The sequence below is a fragment of the Homo sapiens genome, chromosome 1 (assembly GCF_000001405.40).
Source record: "Homo sapiens chromosome 1, GRCh38.p14 Primary Assembly".
NCBI lineage: Eukaryota > Metazoa > Chordata > Mammalia > Primates > Hominidae > Homo > Homo sapiens.
In genome coordinates, this window is record NC_000001.11 from 159,465,604 (window position 1) to 159,490,803 (window position 25,200).

General features: G+C 38.3%; 1 long non-coding RNA gene across 2 annotated transcripts; it reads left to right on the plus strand.

Annotated features, from left to right (window-relative positions):
• Positions 1 to 491: 491 nt before the first annotated feature.
• Positions 492 to 24,426, plus strand: LINC02819 (long intergenic non-protein coding RNA 2819). Of its 2 annotated transcripts, XR_922189.4 has the most exons (4): positions 492 to 1,020; positions 2,477 to 2,553; positions 17,301 to 17,381; positions 24,354 to 24,426. It is a non-coding gene; the product is annotated as a long intergenic non-protein coding RNA 2819 (long non-coding RNA). The 2 variants fall into 2 exon arrangements; XR_922190.3 differs by lacking the exons at positions 17,301 to 17,381; positions 24,354 to 24,426 and adding an exon at positions 7,965 to 8,119 and having other exon boundaries at positions 960 to 1,020.
• The last annotated feature ends 774 nt before the right edge of the window (positions 24,427 to 25,200 follow it).

Genomic DNA, 25,200 nt, shown 5'->3' on the forward strand with positions numbered 1-25,200 from the left:
TACTTTCATTTTCAATAAATCCCTGCTTTCATTCTTTCATTCTTTTGTTGCTTCATTCTTTCTTTGCTTTGCTGGCGTTTTGTCCAACTCTTTGTTCAAAACACCAAGAACCTGGACAACTTGCAATCACGACCCTCTACAGGTGACATGCTGACTGACACTGTTTCTTTCAGTCTTCTCAAAAGAGTAGAAAAACTTCTCCAAGTGGCATTGCTCTTCATTACATAGAAACGGAAACAGACTTTTTTTTCTTTTTTGAGATGGAGTCTTGCTCTGTCGCCCAGGCTGGAGTGCAGTGGAACGATCTGCAAGCTCCGCCTCCCGGGTTCAAGCCATTCTCCTGCCTCAGCCTCCGGAGTAGCTGGGACTACAGGCACCCACCACCACGCCCGGGTAATATTTTGTATTTTTAGTGGAGACGGGGTTTCACCGTGTTAGCCAGGATGGTCTCGATTTCCTGTCCTCATGATCCGCCCACCTCGGCCTCCCAAAGTGCTGGGATTACAGGCATGAGCCACTGCGCCCGGCCAGAAACAGACATTCTTATTCCTACAGAGCCCGTCATGACAACAGCTGCCCTGCAGCACCTCTTCCAGACATCACAATGGGAAACAGGAAATACGCTGTCCCTCTCCAACCTCTGCCTTCATCTCCCCTCCCCTTGTACAAGTTCCTTCACAGAAGTTCTTTCACATAAATTTTGTGCAAATGGATTCCTGTGGACTTCAACTCTGACAAGTCTGAATCCCAGTGGAAATGCAAGTTAGCCTCAAACTGAGAACCTCATACTACATTCAGAATATGTTTTCATGTTTCCAAAATGTCACCAACAATGAGATGACAGGAACCTGAACCAAAAGGATGAGAGTAGAGATGGAAAGTAAATGTTGTTACAAAGGCTAAATCAGAAATTTGTCCCAGATCTAGTATGGATCATGAAGAAGAAGATAGAATGAAAGAACACTCTTACCATTCTGAGTGCCGAAAGCAGGAGGTGGTTCCTAAAAATATGAAGTTTGGGTGAGTTCGGTTGTAAACACATTTAGTTAGAGATGACTTTAAAGACATTAAGTGGAAATACTCAGCAGAAAGTTGAAAAGATAGGTAAGAAGTTCTTAGAATATAAAATAGGGAGCTATCAATATAAGGTGAAAAAGTTAAGCTATAAGAATGAACAATATCTCTGAGAGAGAGAGATTATAGAGAAAGAAAAGCAAAAGGTTGAGGATTTAGCCTTGAAATTAATGAGTTGCATTCAAGTGGTCACCAAAGACCAGGCAAAGAGAGGTGCCAAACGCAAACAGAAAAGAGGTAGTTGAAAAGGGGCAAAGAGCTTTCCTTTGCTGCAGGCACTAAATTAATTTTTGCTTTAACGTAAGGACTTTGTTGTATATTTGTTTTGTTTTGCTTGCTATTGTTATTGTGTGTTTGCTGTACCAGCTGATGCTCAGGAATATCACTCTCTACTTGGCCCTGCTTTATCTTCTTCTATAAGGAAGAAAATGCTTTCTGCTCTCTGAGGGGTGGGAAAGCCAGGAGACTAAACTTTCACACTATCACCAACAATACAATGTCCTGTAATGATAATTTTCTAATTTTACCCTTTCAAAAAAAAAGAGAGCATTTCTGCTTTCAGCAGTTTTATTGCTACCAGATATCTTCTGATTAATTATTTGCCTTTATGAATAACTGTTCTTTCCAAAACAATCTAAGAGGTTCCTTATATATTCCAAGACTTAATCAGATTATACACAAGGAGGTTTTCAAATTAAGTATTTCGTTTTCCAATTACAAATAAAAATACTGTGGACCCATTTGGAAAAAATAGGATATTATAAAAAATACATAAAGAAGAATGAATGAATCATTCAAAATCCAACTAACTGGACATTATAGAAAGAGCATTTCTTTTAGTTTTTTTATGTTGAGATAATATTTTATATAAAAGTCACATTTTACTTTTTCACTTAATAAAGTAAAAGATTTTCTCTATAGTATTACAGACTCTTCATAAGCATAATATTTAAAGCATGCAAAATAATTCAGCATAGGTGTGTCCAATATTTATTAGTCATTAGCCAGTTTTTAGCATTTGAATTGCAATCTAATTTTTTTAGTACAAAAATATTGTAGAAAACTGTATTTTTTAATTTTTAAAATCATCAATTTTTTACTCATTCCCACATAAAATAGATTTAATATGAACATCAATTTCAGTTAAATGCAAAAAGGTGATGTTTCACTGCATATGAAATTCCTCAGGTCCTCTCTGCATGTGAAATTCCCATCATGCACAAAAATGATCCAAAGACTTCTTTCTGGGTAATGAATACAAAACTAGAGTTAATCCTTCTCCTTTGCTGTATTAATCCCATATCTCTCTTCTCATAACTCTATTTCCTTTTCCTTTTTAAAAATCCTAATTACTTTAAATTATTTTCTGCCATAAAGTTCACTGGGCTTTGGTTATTTATAGGTATCCTATACAATGAGAGAAGAATGTCTATCTTCATTATGTTCAAGTACCCAGATAAATGAACCTGCTGTTATAAGGTATTATCTTAAAGCCTTTCTGATGTTTTCTCTTAGGACTTGATTGCAATGAAATGTTCACACTGGGGCTGGGGTACATAGAATACTAGGCAGAGAGTTATTATTGTGGTTTAAAAATTTGTTACCAACAGTTTATAAAATTTTTCAACTAAAGCAATTTTTAAAAACATGTAATCTGAGAATAATATGGTTTCAAAATTAAGCTGTATAGTGTTTTCTCTACAAACAACTTCTATTGCTTCTCTTACTATACCTTGCTAGAGTTCTACTTTTGACCGTCTTACTCTTTGCCTCCAAAGTTGTGGGGCAGACATGCAGTTTGGTCCTTTTGTTGAGTCACTGAGCACAAGACATTGGAATGATCTAGTACAAAGGCTTCATTTTATAAGTGAGGTCACTGGATCTTACAAATTTTAAGGAATCTGTCCTACATCATGCAGCTAGCTGGTACATGGCTGATTTGAAGCGAGTGTATTTTCCAAAATACTATGCTACATCATAAAGAGGGATAATTACAAGTTAGCTGAAAACATTTCTTCTGGGAGGGTAAATCATTCAGAGAGAAAAATTGGGATGACTTTAGGCTTTAATTTAAAAACCGTTTGTAAAGGTATGAACCATACAGAGCAAGAGCATAAATCTGACTCAGGATAAATCCACCCCACTTTAGCCATGGTGATCTTACCTTCAGTGAGAGATGAAAAGAGGAATCTTGAAGCTTATTTTACCAAATGACTTCAGTTGTATATTAGTCCATTTTCACATTGCTATAAAGAATTGCCTGAAACTGGGTAATTTATAAAGGAAAGAGGCTTAGTTGACTGACTCACAGTTCAGCATGTCTCGGGAGGCCTCAAGAAACTTAGCATTGTGGTGGAAGGCAAAGGGGAAGCAAGGCACCTTCTTCACAGGGTGTCAGGAAGGAGAATGAACACAGGTGGAACTATCAAACACTTATAAAACCATCACATCTCGTGAAAACTGACTCACTATCATGAGAACAGCTTGGAGGAAGCCGCCTCCATGATTCAGTTGCCTCCCCCTTGTCTCTTCCTTGACATTTGGGGATTATGGTGATTATGGGGATTACAATTCAAGATGAAATTTTGGGTGGGGACACACCCAAACCATATCAAGACCACTTTAATTACAGTGGCTATTTTAATAACCTCATCGTCCCCAGTAATCTTGTGCTGCATATATACAAGGGTTGTGGGTTGGGGCATATTTGTCACGAAAAAAAAAAAAAAATTGTACATATGTTTCCCAGGATAAAACTTCCAGTATATTCTCAGAACCAATGTTAAATTAATTTTTGTTTTAATGTAAGGAGTTTTTTGTATATCACCCTTAGTTGATTCTGCCCAAAACTAAGATCTTCTCCAAAATGATTTTTTCTTCATTATTATTTATATAACTAGCTAGGACTTTAAAATGGCAGTTTGCCTTACTAAAAAAGTAAAGAAAAGAAAAACTAAAGGGAAAACTAAAGGTTCTGCTTTTTTGAGCACCCAACTATATAAGTCAATAAATGTTTAAAAACAAGATCTCTCTATATCTTCCACTACCAAGTATTGTGTTTTGCACAAACCAGTTCACCATTAAATATCTATGGAAGGAGACAAATATCCATGGAAAGGAGAAAAAGAAAGAAAGGGGAGAAGGAAGAAAAAAAATGTATGAGCTTTAGACAAAGAAGAAAAAGAAAGAACTAACATAACCGACATCTAACCATTTGTTGGACATTTGCCTTATAGGCTTATTTTATCCTAACAAAGAGAATAGGAATTTTATCTATACTTAGCTGATGAAGGAAATGAAGTTCAAAGTTCATGTATAGTTAAGGAGCCATGAAGAGAGAAATTCAAACTGCTACACTTCCAGCTCTCCCTGTCTTCACTATGGTATTTTCCTAGGATTACTGTAACAGCTTCCTGACTCTCCTTGCTTCCACTTTAGCTTCCCTAAAAATAGTAACTGCTCAGCAACCAGAGCCTCTTTAAAATATAAATCAGATTGTGTCACTGTTCCCTGCGTGAATCATTCTGGTGGCTTCCTTTTGCATTTAGAATAAAATGTAAATTTCTTCATAAGTCTAAAAAGCCCTACCTGACCTGGCCTGTACCTCTGTCTCCAACACCCTATCACTCTCACTCTCACTAGCCTCCAGCCATACTACTTTCTAAGAATACAAGAATACAAAGCCCACACCCAGCCTTGGCCTTTCAACTTCCCAGATTCCTCCTGCCTGAAATGCTTTCCTCTGCAGGCCAGATCTGACTCCCGCACCCCTGCCTGTTTTTCTAAATAAAGACTTACACGGGAGAGATAGCTCAATTCCAGCACTTTGGGAGGCTGAGGCAGGCAGATCACGAGGTCAGGAGTTCGAGACCAGCCTGACTAACATGGTGAAACCCCATCTCTACTAAAAATACAAAAATTAGCCTGGTGTGAGGGCGCACACCTGTAATCCGAGCTACTTGGGAGGCTGAGGCAGGAGAATCACTTGAACCTGGAATGCGGAGGTTGCAGTGAGCCAAGATTGTGCCACTGCACTCCAGCCTGGGCAACAGAGTGAGACTCTGTCTCAAAAAAAAAAAAAAAAAAAAAAAAAAAAAAGCAAGACTTATTAGTACACACCCACACCCATTCCTTTATGTATTACCTATAGCTGCCCTAAATTATGACCTATCGGCCTCTATCTGTTCACTTATATGATGTTTCCTTCTCAGTTGCTGCTTCCAAAGAGAGGCCTTCTCTGACTACCCAGTCTAAAATACCTCCTTGCCACAAATCTTATCATCCTATTGTCCTTATAAGATTTATTTTACTCATTTATTGATGTATTAATTATCTAACTCCTCTCTCTAGAATCTGTGTTCTATGAGAGTAGTAGCCTTACAAGTCTTATTTATAACATTTGCCAGTTACTAACATAGAGTCATCTCTTGATAAATATTTTTAGTAAATGAATATACGATGGAACACTTTGTTTTTATTACTCCAAAATTCAAGATTTTTTATTACATAATGACTCTCTCTAACAACAAAAGAATGTCTGGCCATAGGAAAGAACAATGTATAATTAAGCAATTTTTGTTCCGTTCTGAAGATCTTTTTGATATTCAGCAGAGATAGGCATCATACCATCCTCTAGAAAACCGTAAAGTCTACGAAACACAGAGTACACATTTGTAGAATACATATTTGTAGCGTGCTCTCCAACTTAATGGGCAGTGCCATATGAGATCAATTTATAACAACCAGGCAAAAGCATTTGGAAGGTTTCCGCATGGGGAGGAGTTCGTTCTGGGTTAGTCCTGGAAAACACTTCAAAGTAAGCAGTGTATCTTTTGAGCTCAATAACTTGACTTTTGTCTTCATAGCATTCCCTGTTTCCACTGATGCAATCACTACCCTCCGGCTGATTAATCATGATATACCCAAACAGTATCAAAGCTGCTATGGTCTGAATGTTGTGGTCCCAAAAATTCGTATGTCAGAAGCTAATACCCAATATGATACGAAGGGGCCTTCAAGAAGTGATTAAGTCATGAGTGCTGCACCCTCATAAATGTAATTTGTACCCTTATAAAGGAGGCTTAAGCAAGCTTCCTTGCCCCTTCTGCCAACTGAGGACACAGCAAGTGCCATCTATGTGAAACAGACCCTCATCAGAACCAAATCTGCTAGCACTTTGATCTTAGACTTCTCAGCCTCCAGAGCTATAAGCAATAAATTTCTGCTGTTTTATAAATTACCCAGTCTAAGGTATTTTGTTACAACAGCCCAAAAGGACTAAGAAATAAGCCCATAAGACAGCTACCCAAGCTTGTGACAGCCTTTTCCGATAAAGTTTACTCATCTTGAGGCTGATTCCTTAAATACCTTTATCTGCTACTAAAAGTTGATGGTAATACACTGATCATGCAAATAAAAAGCTGGTAACAAGTCAGCTGATATGTTGCTCCCTACTTGAAAGAGCTGTTCTTGGAAAGCCATTTGCCTTCATTTAGGGTCATTAAGAAAAAAGATATTTTAAACCTTTTTGCAAGCCAAGTTACTATCATTACCTCCTGGATGTCCCTAAATGTATAATATTCTATCAACCAAGTCTTGGGGTAAGAATGGCTCTAATTAGTTGGGACATCTGTAGTAATTGTAAAGTGAGTATATAGGATTAGATAATCTCTAAGTCCCTTCAATTCCAAAACCCTATGCTTTTATAATGAACTTTATGGACTTCAGAGCAGTGGGGAAGTATATGGAGTATGGACCCTGAATGAAACATCACATTGATGGGAAATAGAATGTCGTTTTTTTTGGGGGGAAATACCTTAATCTTGTTAAGCCGTAGTTTCCTAGGTACAATATAGACATAATAATGCCTGCCTCTTCTGTAGTTATGATAATTACAATGCGCTAATTGCATATAAAGCAACTTAGAGCTGTAGCTAGCTGATAAATGAAACCTAGTTTTATTATTATTGGGATTCTAGTGTTCTCAACTCTCAATATGGTAGTATGATACTGAATATTACATTGGTTATGTTCTGATAAAATCATCATCTTAGGAAATGAGACATACTAGAGATAAATTTCAAAGAACTGGAAGAATGTGGAAGAGTTGATAAAGTGAGCCAACAAGGATGAGCTCTTGTCTTGGAATTTGGAGGGTTAATTAACACAGCTACACAAATGAACTATGACCTATTTTTGACCTTAAATTAAGAAACTTGTTATCATAGGGAGATTATTAAGGACACATGGGGGTAGGAAGGGACATAAATGAGAAAACTATGTGTTGGCCTTGTCTTCAGACTGATGAACTGCTCTTGTAGTGTAAAACAAGATGGAACCTGCCTTGTTATTAGAACGGAATGTGCAAGCTGCAGGTAGACTATATCAACCCAAATGTGATGAGGAATGATTGTCTTACACTAAGGAGGTTTGAGACTTGGTAAAGCTCCTTATTATATTTACCAAATTTCTTAGCATTGAAATCTTTACTTTCTAAACTTATCCAATTTATTCTGTGTAATGAAATGAAGAAAATCATATTTCCCAAAATTCCTCTTAGGGAGACTTTGTATTTATTCAAAAGAAATTACTTTTTTTGGAGTATGAGACCCTAAGGAAATGCCGAAGGAACACAATACAGCAATTAAATTGTTCCGCTTACTAAAGGGATGAGGAATTTTAACAGGAGTGAATCTTAGAGGCGGAGGAAGAGGCCAGTGAGGCAGGAAGATAGTGGAGAGAGGGAGGAAATAGTAGGAGGGAGCCAGAAGACCTATTCATTGAGTAACAGAGAAGGGATTTAGGAAAACATTAGAAATGACTAATTGGAGGGGGTGTTAGATTTGCTTTAAGGGTGCAATGTAAAGTCCTTCATCTATTTTCTTTTACAGCTCTTCAAGAATGCCATTATCATTGCTTACCCAGGCTTTTGGAGATTATTTTGCAGACTTGAAGAGGTGCCAAGTTCTGTGTTCAGATTAGTACAGGGAGAAAACAGAATGTTCCAGAGTTTCATAACTTAGGGGACAGGGTGGGAGAGCCAATATCAGAGTCAGATGTAGTCATATTTCTTTGTGGTTTCTCATAATGTTTTTAATGAATTTTTTAAAAATACCTCATGTAAACTGTAATATGGATAATTAAAACCAGAGAAGCAGGAGAACTCTAAATGCGACAGAAAGACCCTCACAAGAGGGAGACGCAAACTTAGAAGGTAGAGTTCAGGGACTAGTTCTGGCATTAATGTCCAAAAGAAATATAATTAAATTACATATGTAATTTTAATGTTTCTAGTGGTCAAAGTTTTTAAATGCAGAAATAAAGAAATAAAATTAATTTGAATAATATATTTTATTAAGTCAATATTTCTTTAAAATATCATTTCACCACTTAATTAGTAAAAAATTATTAATGAGACATTTTACATTTACTTTACACTAAGTCTTTGAAATTCAGTGTGCATTTTATTCTTATAGAACCGTTCATACTGTTCTATACCGGACAGCACTGACTTAAATTGTCAATCCTATACCTAGTTACATCACAGATGGACAAATTGACAGTAAATCCATCTTTTGAATATTATTGACATGATTTGGGGTTGAAAATTAATACTCTTGATTATGAATAAATGGTTTAAGAAAGAAGACCCAACAGTTATTGAATATTACTACATTTAGCTGCTATAATAAGCAATTCCATATATTATCACATTTAATCCTTTCAAAAAGCATCTGATGAGGGATCGTTATTGAGATGAAAATGGTGGACTCATGTTCAACATCTACTTCACTCTTCTAGTTTGCCTTTCCAAATGGCAGAGAGTGAAAGGCTAAAAAGTATATTTCCTGGACTCCCTTGAAACTACAGTTCTCAAGGTGATTTTGGTTCAGCCCATCAGATATTTAGAGGCTGGTAGTAAGACAGAGACTACATATCTTCCTCTTTTTTTTTTTTTTTTTTTTTGCCATTTTTACTGACAAGCACAGGGACTGATTTTTCAGCAGCAGAATTGAACCAAGGTGCCATCTTCCAGCCTTTCCTTATGGGTATTGAGAAGCAGGGCCCTGGGCAATGTTGCTGGAGTAGATTAGAGCAAATGCAGTGCGACTCTAGAGGAAGCATCTCTCTAAATATGTGAACTTTTGAATTTTGTGGATTTCTAATGCTGGTTGTAGCGGTGTACAATGTGGAGCAATCTGCATCCTAATTGTAAAAGAAGCAGGTGTTCCTTTGACTCAGTTCTGCAGTATGGATGCAGAGGCTTCTCCTCAATGCTCATGCTAGATTCTGTTCCTTTCATCCAATGGTTCTGAAAGCCATTGCCACAGAACATCACACTGATCCACCATATCAATCACATCATGTTGATCAGACAGGGTGAGTGCAATGTGGCTAGCATACTAGAGGGTTTGGTAAGATACATGTACTACAGAGAGAGAGAAAAAAAAAACTCTGAACACTCAGAAATTTGTCATTTTGGTTTCAGAAATCCTGTGGTCAGAGGTATGCTACGACACTCCCTCCAAATAAAACAAGTTGGTGCATCTCACATCCCATACCACAAAAAAAGGAAGCACAATACTTGGTAGGCCCCTTTTCATTCTGGAGGCAGTAAGTCCACAAACTAGGTGTAATGCTCTAGCTTTTATATTACATGATAGCCTTGCAACTTTGAGTAGGACTTGGAACAGAAGGAGTTCTGCAGCAGATACAGGTTGTAGTGCAATTAGACCTGTCACTTGGGCTATATGATTTAGCAGACCTTATTTTGTTGTAGCTGTCAATGGTAGAAAAATAAGTAGTGTAGAACATATGGCAAGCTCTAGAGGAAGAATCACAACGTGAGTCTTTGAGGTTCTGTAGCAGGGTTATGCCTTGTAGAGCAGAGAATCACAAACTTTTGGAAAATCAGCCCCTGGCAAGCTACGAGGCCCTAGTAGAGATAGAATGTTTGGCAACAATGGACACCAGTGATCATGCATTTAGAATTTTTCTTCATGAAGTAGATCTTGCTTGACCTTCAAAACTGTAAAGTCAGATAGGCCCAGTAACAATTATTCAAAAGATCCACAGTATACATCAGAGACAGCACAAGCAGGACCAGAAGGCAAAAACATAAAAGCAAGTTGCATAAACATGTAAACTAAATCTCCATGTCACCAGCCAGGGTGGTATCTGCATCACCCTTCCCTAGTTCACTATGAAGTTTCTGCATAAAGAAAATGTACTAGCTTGGTTTGTGGATGCATCAACTCAATATGTGGGTACAAGTCAAAAATAGATGCATTATAGCCTCACTCAAGGATAGCCTTCAAAGATGGTGCAGAAGGAAAGTTTTCCTAACTGGTGGGGCTTTGGATGGTACACTTGATTATTTACTTTTTGCTAAATGAGAAGTGCCCCTACATTAGAATATGTGTAGACTCATAAGCATAACAAATAGCCTGACTTGTTTGTCAGGAACCTAAAAGGAAAAGGATTGGAAGACTGCAGACAAGAAAGTCTGAAATAGAGGCATGTGGATGTATATGTGAGAGTGGACATGAAGTGTGAACCTTGTATCACACATTTGTTACTACCAGGAAGCATCAACCATAGAAGAATCACCAAACAATCAAGTAGATGGAGTGACTCAGCCACTTGATATTAGCCAGCTTTTATCAGTGATCAACTTAGTCCTGATTTGACAGGAACATCTTCAACAGTGGCAGAGATAGAGGCTATGCATGTATTGCCATTCACTAAGCTTTTGATAACTACTAGCACCTCTGATTATCCAACTGCCAGTAACAGAGACCAATAATGTACTCCAAGTATAGCACTATTTATCAAGGAGACAAACCAGCTATTTATTGGCAAGTTGACTACATTGGGCTCCTTTCTTCCTGGAAGGGTTAGCAGTTTGTCCTCACAGGACAGAAACTTACTCTAGGTAATGGTTTCCTTTTCCTGCCTGGAGATCCTCTATCTGCACCTCTATTGGGGGTTTACAGACTACTAGATCCTCAAGCATGAAATCCTGCTCTATAAATCATCCAACCATTGGACCCACCTTGCAGCAAAGGAGGTGCAGGAGTGGGCCCATGACCATGGTATCCACTAACTGTACCACAAGCTGAATAATTTAGAAGCAGCCTGCCTGAGAGGATATTGGAATGACCTGCTAAAGACATAGCTGAAGTACCAGCTTGGAATAAACCATTTGCAAAGATAAGGTGCTTTCTTCCAAAACACAGTATGTACACTGGATCAGAGACATCTGTCTATACGATGCTGTGTCACTAGTGGGAATAATGCATAGGTCCAAGTCCAAGAAGTAAAAACAGAAGTATCCCCACTTACCATCATTTCTGTGTCCCTTTGGGAGAATTTGTGCCTTCTGTCTGTTTATTCTGAGCCTTGCAATGTTAAAGGTCCTGGTGCCCCCAAAAGGCCCACCCTACACAGGGACACATCAAGGGTGCCATTGAATTACAACCTATGACTGCCACCTGGGCGTTTTGGACTTTTTATATTCAAGGACTAGCAGGTAAGAAAAGGAAATTGTGACAGCAGGAAGAGGTAGGGATGTTTTTACACAGTAGGGACACCAAGAAATAATTGTGGAACTCAGTGATTCATTTAGATTAGATACTTCTTGGTAATTCCTTGACAATTGTGATTGTGAATGTTCAAGTGCAATAACCTCTACCTGTGAAGGATGGGATTACTAGACTCAGACATCTCAGGAACAAGGGTTGCGGTGAAACCACAAGTAAGCCACTGAGAACTTTAGAAGTAAGAGCTGAAAGTGAGGGGGAAGTTAGAATTAATAGATGAAGAAGAAAATAATAGTATCAGCTGTGGCCCCAAGACAGACTGCAAAGATGAAGGCTACAGTTTTTCCCACTAATCTCCATCATCTAGGTTTCTCTTCAGAAAGAAAGGCTTCGTGGAAGCCTTAAAGAGGTACTGCCTGAAGGTATATTGAAAATGTATCCATGCCATATAAAAGGTAGACTATTAAAGGTGTGGAGATAACCTATTCAGATTCCCTCTTCAAGAAAGAATTTGTTACCTATACGCAAAGAGTATGGACAGATAAGAGTCTCAAGATGTTAACACCTCCAAGTCCATGGGGGCTTTTGATTCAAGGTCATATTCTTTTGGGGGTCTCCCAGCCAATGACTAAACAAGACTGTGGTACGGAGGCCATTTCTACCAATATGGGATTCCTTTACTAAGTCGTCATCTCTCCAGTGTTCCCCAATGGGTTGGGAGGGACTTTGTCAAATCTACAGCACAGCCTGATCACACACACTCCCTATTCTCGCTTCCTCCCTTTTGCTTTCATAGGTCACTCCACAATAGACCTTTCACACTCCTATCTCCAATTCAGATTCTGTTTCCTGAAAGACTCAGATGAAACAAAGTGTTACCTTTTTTCATGAAGGTTTCTTCTTGGTAGGGAGAAGTATCATAAACAAATTCATAAATATACAAATATAATGTCACACATTATTTTTAATAAAATAATACAGAGCAAGGGTAATACAGAGGCTTTTTTTTTTTTTTTTTTTTTGAGACGGAGTCTGGCTCTGTCGCCTAGGCTGGAGTGCAGTGGCGCGATGTCGGCTCACTGCAAGCTCCGCCTCCCGGGTTCACGCCATTTTCCTGCCTCTGCCTCGCGAATAGCTGGGACTACAGGCGCCTGCCACCGCGCCTGGCTAATTTTTTTGCATTTTTAGTAGAGACAGGGTTTCACTGTGTTAGCCAGGATGGTCTCGATCTCCTGACCTTGTGATCCGCCCGCCTCGGCCTCCCAAAGTGCTGGGATTACAGGCGTCAGCCACTGCGCCCGGCCAGAGGCATTTTTATTAATGGGCTGGGCTTGTGAGACTTCTGTAAAAAAGCGACATGTGAGTAGAGACCTGAGTAAACCACAGAAATATGAGATATACAGATATCTGAAGAAAGTGAGTATGTTTTTGCCTTATATCACATTCAACACAGTGGCTTTTCCAAATCACCAACTATAGCCCTACTCATTCCAGTCTTAGTCAGTGACTTGGTATCCTACCTTACCAGGAATATTAAGGCATTTTGACATGTGTTCCTTCAAATCTCTCCTCTTAACCAAATGTCTCTCTGTATCTTTATTCTACCTCTGTTGCCCTGTGACCCTCTTTGGGGAAGAAGAGTCTGCTCTCATGGCCAACACTAATCTCTCCATTTGTAACTGAAGACAAGCAATGTAGTGGTGTTCTCAACTGCCAAGGAAAAATTGTGCATTTCTGCCTCCGGGGAACACTGCCATTTTCACAGAGTATGAATCAGAAACTACTGATGCTTCATAAAATAAGACAGATGACTCTCAGTGCCATATTGCAAAAGGACATGTTCAGTAGACTGTTCATTAATTTATTATTTAGTGAGCACCTGCTTATGTGCCTCATATTAGCAGTGATAGTAGAAAGCCAGGACCCCAAATCTTTGGCCAGCTGTCTCCTGCTATAAATTCTTAATAGGGCATGTTCGGCACAGATTACACTCCAGGAAATTGCATACATTTGTCCCCAAATAAAGTCCAGTGTCTGATGACCAGGCCTGGTTCACATGTGCCGTCTGAGATTTTCTTCAGCTGGTGCAGATGTAAAGTCTTAGGATAACCTCTTTGACTTTTCCCACCAGGTCTACTACAGGAATTTGGCTAGCTGGGGTTTTTCGTTTGTTTGCTCATTTGTTTGTTTGTTTTAATGAAACAGTAAAAGGAGGGACAGAAAGAAGATCCTGAGAATAAGAACTCAAATCTCCCTAAGTACAGTCCAGGCTTCCCTCACTCCAGGAGCTCACTCCAGGCTTCTCTCTGTGCCCTTTCCAGGACTGTCGGCCTGTCCTGATGCAGACATGCTTCAAAGCCTGGAAAAGTAGGCACTATTGCTGTACCAGCCCCATTGGAATAAGGGCAGAAGCAACAATAATTCCAACTGACAACCTTCTTGAAAAACACATGTAACCTCTTTGACCAACCTGTTAAAAGATATACCTGTTTCTTTTACTCCTCCCAACATCAACACTGTATTATAGTGCCCCAAGAAACCTAAGAATCTTTTTGCTTTTATTCTAAAACTGATAATTACTTCTGTTGTCAATGATGTATCCTGCTTTTATGACCTGTCAGAAAATAAATAATCATATAATAAATAACTGACAAATCATTACACATAAAGTTCAGCATTTTCCATGTCTAAGTGCATCAGTATTTAAGTTCAGTTCTTACTCTTGCCATTGTTGTCTGGATAAACTTGGAAGGATTACCTCCACACACAAACATCACCACTTACACCTTGCACCTCTGGATTCTTCCTAACTCTCACAAAAACTTTGTTCCTATTCCTGAAATTGTGATTTCCCATCATTATGAAGACAATCAAAACTTTGGGAGTCATGGTGATGAGCTCTTAGAAAACCTTTATCCACTTCACAACTGGATGAATTATCTTCTTTCTTTCATCAAGATCAGGTCTGCCACTTGTTCGGAACCCAAATCTAGCACTATAAAACTTCAAAACAATTCTTCCAAGTGTGTAATAATATTCAATGTGTTCTTAAACACAATGTCTGCTATGACCCTCAAAAAAATTTTTTTAATTGTAAAGTGAGCATAGCAGAAAGTGTTAGCTCCATTTTATAGGAGAGAAATGTGGTACACATTTTTTGTGAACCTGTCAAACTCCAAATGTTTTCTTCACTGTAACTGCCTTTACTCTGAATCCATATTGTTTAATTCTCAAAATTTATCTCTTTGTAATGTGACCCTATCTTTGATCAGAGTTGGTAGAATCAGAGAAGTTTATCAAATCCCAGTTAGATCACTCTGATTCCCTCATTTAGGAATTTGGAACTAGGAAAGAAGTAGAAATTGGGAAGTAAAAATGTAGAGAAGAAAATGAAACAGGAGAGTCAGGAAGTGGTGGGGAAAGATGAAAAGAAACTGTCCATGTAGATTAAACTATAACATTAAATTGGTAGTTTTTGTGAGGAAAATAGCCATCTGAACAGAAAAAAAAGGAAGTAAATAGATTACAGACAGAAATGGAGACAAAAAAGTGAGAGAGAGTGCTAAAACTTCCCAACTTCATCATCTAATGTCTTCTTAAGGTGTGGCTACATTCTTGCACTTAAGTTTTATGGGATGCTGCTACAATTTACAATGAATTTTTCTTTTTCTTAAGCTAGGTCTAATTGATTTTTACATTTGCAACCAACATGAAAAATAAGATTCAAAGTGATTAATAGTACCAAAGATCACATTGTCTGGTAATGAAAACTGAAAAATTCAAAAGCAAAGCCCAGGTCCCCTGACTTCTAGTGAATTAATTATGATGGGTTATTTTATCTTAGAGACATCTGTGTAGATCTAGATGGAGCAAAGATAGAAAGATTTGTGCATCAAAGTCAAAAGGAGGAAGACGGTCCCATAATTTTAAAAAGCAAAGATGATTGTAAGGTTGAATGTTGGCCTTGAAAAGATATGTCTACCGGGAACCTGTGGAGGTGACCTTATTTTGAAAGTGTCTTTGCAAATACAATTAAGTTAAAGATCTTGAAATGAGATTATCCTGGATTGGGTGGATCTTAAACCCAAAGACAAGTGTTGTCCTCATAAGAGGAGAACATGAGAGAACAATTGAGTATACTTAATGAAATAATTTTCACAGAAAAGAAGTCAATGTGAAAACAGAGGCAGAGATTGGGGTGATGCATCTGCAAGCCAACAAACACCAAGGATTGCTGGAAACACAGAAAGATGGGAGAGAGCCATGGACTTGACCAGCTCTGTGGAGGTCTTGATTTTAGACTTCTAGCCTCCAGAACTGTGAGAGAATAAATTTCTGTTGTTTCAAGTCACCAAGTTTGTGGTCATTTTTTATAGCAGCCACAGGAAACTAATGCAATGCTTAACAATATAAATAAATACGGAGAATGAAAAGAAAGTAGAGAATAAGAACTAAAGAATACATTACTATAACCTGGGATATTTAAGCTATAAAGTCCGTACGAGAAGGCTAGGGTCAGTATTCACTTGATTCAGGTGTGGTCATCTAGCTTTTATTTAACACTTTGTAAGTGCTGGGGAGACACACTGCTGAGGATACATGAGGAGAAGAAAACATTTGACTTCAAGGAGCTCCCAGTTTGTAAGACTGTGTTGAGGCTGAGTTGTTGACACCTATGCTGCTAAAGAATAATTATTATTCTTAAGTTTACTGCTAAATTTTATTTCTTTGGAAAAAATTATTGAGAAATTAATTGTTTTCTTTTTTCTGTTATGGCCTCATTAGAGAATACATGTCTTTTTTTTTGCTTCTTCATTAACACCAACAAATATGTTATATGCTTCTCTACCACTTCTTACTTTGGAAGCTCTTTGACTGCAGGAGAGTAGTAAACTGTATTTTTTCCATACACTTCAAAACGAGAAAGGCCACCAAGTGGGTATGGCTGGAGACTGTAGCTTTGGGGGGGAAGTGGGTGGCACAGTTTCAAGGGAGTTCATTCTCCTAGAGGAGGAACAGGAGAAGATGGGTCACTTGAAAGAGCTCCATGTCATGGATTCATGAATATCTGCACATTCTTCAAACACAGCACCCCACAAGCAGAAAGATCCCAGAGGAAAACAGCCGTATGAATGCCCATGGAGATTAAACTCTGTGAAAAGAATAATTTTGCAGATTATAATGAAACTAGAACCTGTGAAGGCATCTTTTATTTGTGGTGGAATCAAGGAGAAGAAGTAGACCATAAGATATGAGTTCTCCCACACACATTTTTTCTTTCACTGAAAAAGAAGAGCTTATATGATTTACAGAGTAATGAATCAGACTAACGTACAGCTGATTAGTTCGTTTGCAATTTTAATGAAAAATTCAGTTTCCTATAATGTATGTTTTATACCTAAAATGAACAGTATATGTTTTGTAACTCTTCAAGTGATGGTTACATCTCAGGGTGATTACATAACGCTTGAGTATACTTAATGAAATAATTTTTCTAGGAGGAGCTTGTGATAAATAGCTCCAGAAAACCCTGTGACTATCTTGGAAAGTTTCTTGCTTCTTCTTAACAAACGGAACAAGAAACAGAGCCTCACGCATTTAAATTTCATGTTCTCTTAGTACCTTGTGCTCCCAATGTCACTAGATTGTGAAAGTTCTTCAACCTCTTCTCACTTACTTTACTAGGGGGAGACATGACAAGCTTTACGTGTTGAAAATACAAAGAGCCTGACCCTACAGGAATCTTTCTTTCTGGCCTTTTTCATCGTGAGTACATGCTTTTGATTTTGATCATGGTTAAATAGAAAATATTTAAATTATAATTTCTATCCACAAGGATAAAATTTCTATCCACAATTTCTAACCAACAAGAGTCCCCGTGACTCACCTGGCACAGAGGTTGGGAAACTTCAAGTTGATTCCCAGGCCTAAGTATGGAACAGTCTTTATCACTTTCCAAAATGTAGCCTGTCCACATTTTCTTGTGCTGCATAAGCCCATCATCCCAATATAATACAGTAGAGAAAAAGAAACTGATGCTGAAATTCTCATGGGCTTTGATGAGCAGAAACTTGGTAATATAATTTTGATTTAGAAAAATAAAGAAACATGACATTTGTTATCCCTAGAGATTTATAAATTGATTCAAACTTATCATTACTGCACGTGGAGAATCCGTGCTTAGGAAGGACTACCTGTGTTTATTACTCAAAAAATCAGGGTAATTTGAGCAAAGTTGAAAAATGTTGACTAAAGACTCATCTTGGCCAGGGCACAGTGGCTCACACCTATAATCCCAGCACTTTGGGAGGTCCAGGCATGTGGATTGCTTGAGCTCAGGAGTTTGAGATCAGCCTGGGCAGCATAGTGAAACCCCATCTCTACAAAAATACAAAAAATTAGCCAGGTGTGGTGGCACGCCTGTGGTTCCAGCTACTTGGGAAGCTGAGGTGGGAGGATTGTTTGAGCATGGGACGTGAAGGTTTCAGTGAGCTGAGATTGCACCACTGCACTCCAGCATGAGTAACACAGCAAGATCCTGTCTCAAAAAAAAAAAAAAAAAAGACTCATCTTTAATCTGTTGTGATGATTTGTTCATTACGCTTAATATATATGATCTGCCCATAGCTTTAAAAAATGATGTAGTATTAGCCTGTAAATCCTCTTTTCTTTAGTATTACGTCTTCTAAAAGCTTATGCTGAATGCATACTTCCTCGGCTACCAACTCAGAAAGGAAAACGCCACTGGTATCCAAATCAAGTGTAGTAGACTGAGCCCTCTCCCTTGTAATTACTGCCACTCCCACTTCTCCAGACACTCTTTCCACCCCATCAGCTCACCAACAAAACTTACTTTCTATGTATGTTGCAGTGGCAAGCACTGGTCTGTTGTCCCTCTGGGCCTTAATCTTGAGTAAAAACTGGTTCTCCTTCTAGTGCTATATTCTTTTTGTTGCTCAAAACACAACACTACCACCTTGAAACTGTAACATTTCCTATTTGCTTATATTGTTGTTGGTATCTCTTTCTATCATCCCAGCAATACTCATGTATAAGATCTAGGGACTTCATGGCTCTCAAAGAATCTAAGCTCTCAATATCCCAAACTGAAGGCCCAACCCAGCCTTTGATCAGAATTATAAAGTGCATTTATTGCATAAAAAAACAGTTATCCTGAACACAAAAATTAGATGAAAATAAGATCCTTGGAAGTTTTTGCTGCATAGCCGTTTTAGATATATTTATTAAGCACCTATTGATCCATCACTAAATAAATTTACTGTGCATATTTGTTAATATTCAAGAAACAAAATGGACAAGTTCTCTGCTATTATTCTAGTAGTTATGGAGAGACAATAAATGTTTAACAAATAAATACATAATATTTCAGATGGCAAGAAATGCTAAAGAGGAAAAGTCAGGCAAGGGAGGTAAGGAGTGCTAAGAGCAGGGTTTCTATTTTATATGAGATAGTTCAGGAAGACATTACTAATGAATGACTTTGCAGCAGAAACTTGAAGAAATGAAGGAGTCAATCATGCAACTTCATGGTCAAAAAGCATTCCAGAAGAAGCAGAGAATCATTTCAAAGACCTTGTGGCAGTACTGTACTGTGCATGCAGGAGGAACAGAAAAAGAAAAAAAAAAAAAAAGCCAGTATGTACGAAACTGAGTCATCTGGAAGGGCAGTGGTTCTCAAATGTGGCTACACATTGAAATCACCTGGGGATATATTTTTTTAAATGATGCCTTGATTTACCAGCTCGATATTGTGATTCAAATGGTCTGGGGCATAACCAGGACATTAGGATTATTTTGAAAGCTTCCCCAGGATATTCTAATGTGCAACAAATTTGGACTAGAAAAATATGATAAGGTTGCCTAGCAATACTTGAACCCACAGTGTCTTTAACACAGAGTGGAATGAAAGGGTCTTTGTGTTGTTCTCCAACTGTCTACTGTTTGTTTCCGTGGCAAAGTAGGTTGAAAGTTGGATTTAACTAGGGTTGGAGATTTTTTAGGTAAATGCAAAGGAAAGAGAAATTAGCTGATACTCTGCCAGAGAGTGATTATAAAAAGGGACCATGGAATCTAAGGTGGGTAAGAAGAGAAGCTAGGACAGGAGAAGAGTAAGAAACAGTGTTAGGATCAACAAAGTGCTATTTAGGTCAAAGATTTGTTCCCTCAGATACTAAAAGGAGAGAGCTGGAAATATAGGCAGTGATGGACATAGTGATTAACAGAGGGGATATAGTTTTTGATAATGGACAGATCTAGCATAAGACATAGAAATATGTGGCTGAGCTAGAGTAAGAACAAAAATTATCGGAGGATAAGACAAAACAGAAACACCAAGGTTTTGACAGGATAGTCTACATGGTTATTAAAATCACTAAGAATTATGATAATAGCATTACAGAGAGTGATAGTAATGTAGGAATTAAAATATTCAAGGAAGTAAAGGGAGTAACCAGAAGTGTCTTTAAATGACCAAAAAAAAAAAAGAAAAAAAAAAAAAGGACCGGGCGCAGTGGCTCACCCCTGTAATCTCAGCACTTTGGGAGACTGAGACGGGTGGATCACGAGGTCAGGAGATCAAGACCATCCTGGCTAACACGGTGAAACCCCGTCTCTACTAAAAATACAAAAAAAAATTAGCTGAGCGTGGTGGGGGGCGCCTGTAGTCCCAGCTACTCGGGAGGCTGAGGCAGGAGAATGGCGCAAACCCAGGAGGCGGAGCTTGCAGTGAGCTGAGATAGCGCCACTGCACTCCAGCCTGGGGGACGGAGCAAGACTCCACCTCAAAAAAAAAAAAGGGAGAGACAGTTCCAGTAGTGGAGTCTGATAGCAGGAGTTTCAAAGCTGAAAAATTTTTAAGGAGGATGGAGAGAAATGGACTGGAAGCAGCAGTAAGGAGCAAAGAGCTACCCTATCCCCAGGACAGAAAATATCTACTCTATGAGGGGCCACAATAGAGACAGAGCTTCAAGGGAGTGCCAGGTTTCAGTGTGAACACAAAGGTGAAGGAAACATTCAAGAGAAGAGACAAAGATATTAGGGACCTTGCCAGTGATGGGCCATGGATCCTCTAGGGAAACGATTTGGCAACTGGAAGTGGAGAAAGAGCAATTTAGACTGTGAATGAAGACCTCAATCGAGAGGGGTGACTTGGTGTATTTGATGTGAATATGTGTCAAGCCATTCAGACAGTGTCAGGTATAGAGTAAGTGCTCTATAGTCAGCCACTATTGGTTGTATGGTGGCTGATGAGTACAGGGATATAGGTCATGATGGAATTAGTTCCAATGGACTCCTGGGATGGTTGCATTAATAAATACATGATTTGGGGGGAAAACTATGAGTAAAAGTCTTTACAAAAATTTGTGGAGTTCTGGTCTTGTATAAATGGAAGTAAATACAGGACCTAAAAAAAGGAATGGAGAACCTAGATCACCACAGCTCAATGAAGTTAAAGAAAAGCTGTTAAGAAAATACTTCACAAACCTCTGGAGAAAAAGAATGTCTTCAGTGGACCTGAAATTTTTAGGAATTCCTGAAAGCTAGAAAACAGCAGGGTACCAATGAGTATTGTGTGGTGGTTGTAGCTTAATGTTTACACACTCTCACATACTCTTCGCTTCAAATAATGGAGCCTAACTCCTCTCTCCTTGAGTGTGACCTTTGCTTAGTGACTTGCCACTAATGGAGTAGAATGTACAATAGGGACTGCATGTGACTTCTGAGGCTAGGTCATAAAAGGCACTGTGGCATTATCCTTGCTTTCTTCCTAGGATCAGTAGCTCTGGGAGACGCCAACTGTCCTATCTCTAAGGACACTAAGCAGCCCTGAAAGAGGGCACACATGGGAGAACTTAAGGTCTTTCGACAACAACCAGCTCTAACTCACTAGCCATGTGAGTGACCCCCTTGAATGCTGGTCCTCCAGCCCCAGTTGAGTCTTCTGATGAGCCCAAGAAAATACCTTGACTCATGAGAGGCTCTGATCCAGAACCAACCAGCAAAGTCACTCCCAGTGTCCTGACCCACAGAAACTGTATGAGCTGGTAATTTTTTTTAAATTATACTTTAAGTTTTAGGGTACATGTGCACAACGTGCAGGTCATCATTCTCAGCAAACTATCACAAGGACAAAAAACCAAACACCGCGTGTTCTCACTCATAGGTGGAAATTGAACAATGAGAACACATGGTCACAGGAAGGTGAGCTGGTAAGTTTTGAAGTAATTTGTTATGCATAAGTAGATGGTTAATACATTATGTTTGAGCTTTGATGTTAGACTGGACATACTTTTTTATTTTTTTAAAATAACTATAATTGGCATGTAATAATTGTACACATTGTGGAGTATATAGTGATGTTGTGATACATATATAGAGGGTAATTAGCATATGCATCATCTCAAACATTTATCATTTCCTTGTGTTGGGTACATTCAATATCCTTCTAGCTATTTGAAACTACATAATATATTATTGCTAACTTCAGTCATCCTACAGTGCTATAGAATGCTAGAACCTTTTTAAGTAGGAAAATTTTCTCATCCCTTTAACTCCTTTTTGGGGGCATGACCCATTACCCCCTACATTCTTCTTAAGCTGGATGCATACCAATTTAGGAACAGGACGGGGATGGGATGGGGTGGGAGTAGAGATCTTTCTCTTCACCTACTTACTGAACCTTGACTAATAGACTTCTCATCCTGCAGCAAGTCATGTACCTTGCACAGAGTGCAGAAGGTTTATATTTTTATAACATCCCTCAAAGCACAGAAAAGAGATGAATTTCTTAGTATAGTAATGCACAGGAGCTGTACTAAGAGGCAGTCACTCTTGGCAATGTAAAAAGTCTGATGGACTATAGATGTTTGACCCTGAGGCCATACCATCCACAGCATCTCTTTTGTTGTATTTATTCCCTCTACAATTTATTGAATTTTGCTTTCAAGCTACAAAAGCAGTACCTACTTGTTTGAACAATAAAACAACTGTCAGCATATAAAGAAAGTCAACAGTCTCTTCACTTTTCCTCATTCCCAAAGTAATCAGTGTTAACGGTTTATTCTCTACCCTTTTACCCCTTATCTTTCTGCATTAACAAATATAAAGATACCTATTTCCCTTTGTTTCTTTATGTTTACCAAGACTAAACCACACGCATTACTCTGCAATATGCATTTTTCACTTAGAATATGCTATAACTGTCACTTCAGATTAATACACACAGGTTTAACTCATTTTATGTAGCTGCATAATATTCCATAGTAAATATGGAGTATAATTTATTCAACCATTCTCCTGTTAATGGTTGTTTTACATATTTACAATTAAAACATAGTGTGACGATCATTCTTTTAAATATACTTTTACATACTGGGACCTATTAGGTTGTTAGACTTAGTGATTTATGAGTCAATGGGTATTTTTTTTAATTTTATAACAGTGTTCCAAGTAACTTTACAATATTTGTAGCCTTTCACAGTGATATCACCAATATATGAATCCCCATTTCTCCATATTCTTGGAAGGGCTGAAGAGTTCTAAACTTCTGTAACTTGAGGCAAAAATGATATCCCAATACTGTTTGACTTGCACTTCCCTGATTAGATGCTGAGCATCTTCTAATGTGTTTTGGGACACTGGCTATTCTTTCAGTATCCACAAGATTTGCTGAAGAAGACAAGAGAGGATGGATATTTTATTTTATTTTGTTTTTTGAATTTTAAAATTGAGTTGAATAGACTTTATTTTTTAGAACAGTCGTAGGTTCACAACAAAGTTGAGCAGAAAGTACAGAAAGTTCTCACATACCCTCTCCCCACTCCCACATACAGCCTCCCCAACCATCAATATCCAGCACCAGTTACAATCCATGAACCAACATTGATACATCATTATCAACCAAAGTCTAAAATTCTCATTAGCATCCTCTTTGTGTGTTGTACAGACTATGGGTTTTGACAAGTTTACAGAGACATATATCCACCATTATATAATCATACAAAATAGTTTCAAAGCACTGAAAAAAATCACCTCTGCACCACCCATTCATCTTTCTGATGATAGCCCCTGGGGATGTTGTTTATATAACTAAGTCATCTAACACAACCTGTTAAGAGAAAGTTAGATTCTTTCTGAAATGGGTAGATAGATATGGTAGAGATGGCTCCCAATGGCTACAGTGGAACTCTGGACTGATATCCTTCTGTTACCCAGCGTAATGCCTGTGTGACATAGCTGAATTTCTACTCTGCCCTAACTTTGCTGATCTTTAAGAAAAAGAATACCTGCAATAAAAATTTTCCTTTATAGCCAGACCAGCTGAAACTGGTTATAACCAAGAGAGATCAACTTCAAAAAAACCTCAGGTTTCATTATAATCTCATTTCCATGCTAAATGACACTCCTATCAGTGCTGTGACTGTTGACAATCGCCATGGCAATGACCAGAAGCCATAAAACGACAAAAAGGAAGGGAGAACTCTGGTTCCAGGGAGTTCACGGCCCATTTTTGGAAAACACATGAATATTTCTCCCCTTACTTGTAATGTCATTAAATAAACATTCATTAAAGAAATATTATATTTTAGCCCTCTCACCCTTCACTAGTGGAGAAATTGATTTGTGAGCCATGCCCCCACATCTGAATTCTATGGCCATCGAATAAAATTTGCTCTGCTTGATGCTCACTTTTCGTTTTGTATATTGGCTTCATGACAGGAAACAAGGAAAGACTCTATCTTTTGGGGGACCAGCTTTGTCAGTGACACTTCTGCTGAAGACAAGATGAATGATGCAGGCAATGTTGAATGCTACTGGATATCAAAACCTGATAATTTTTAGGGATACAGAAAAGAAGAGAGAAGCTTGAACTGTTGATTCAAGTCCTATTGAGTGGTCACTAAATTCACTCATACTACAAGTTCAGATACGCAGAGAAAATACAAATTCTTTATTGTCTATAGCTGATTGCTTCCTGCCAGGTCTCTAGTCATTGGTTAACAGGAATAAACAAGTGTATTACATAGTTAGTCTTAGTCCTATGCAGTAATTTCTACAGTTCATTTAGATAGTAGCCTCTCATTTGGAGAAAAACACAGTCTCTCAGGTAACCTTCCCCACCCTTGTCTCTCTTCCCAAGATCTTGTTGAAACCAAGGGCTAATCTTTTTAGTCACTTGCTTTTTGTTGATTGTTTTTAACCCATGTAGCTGAAAGCCACACTGCTAAACACTATAACTTAACCTTCATGAGCTCCTTTAGAGATAATGCTTCTGATGTATATGTCACCATGGTAACAATTGCTTAAGTTGTTTTCAGGAACTTGGGGGTCAGCTTTTGTCCAACTTAAACCAGTTAAGACCACTGACCTTTCAACTGGGCCTGCACAAATGCTCAAGAGGTGAGCTTTTGATGTCAAAGAGCCAAAGATTCTTCTCTCAAATCGTGATAACACCACCATTTTCTGAACATGCATCCTATAAGGAGCCATGAACACCAACTACACTTGTACACATCATCAGTTACCTCATTTATCCCTACTGCCAATCACTTTTCTTCATGCTTTA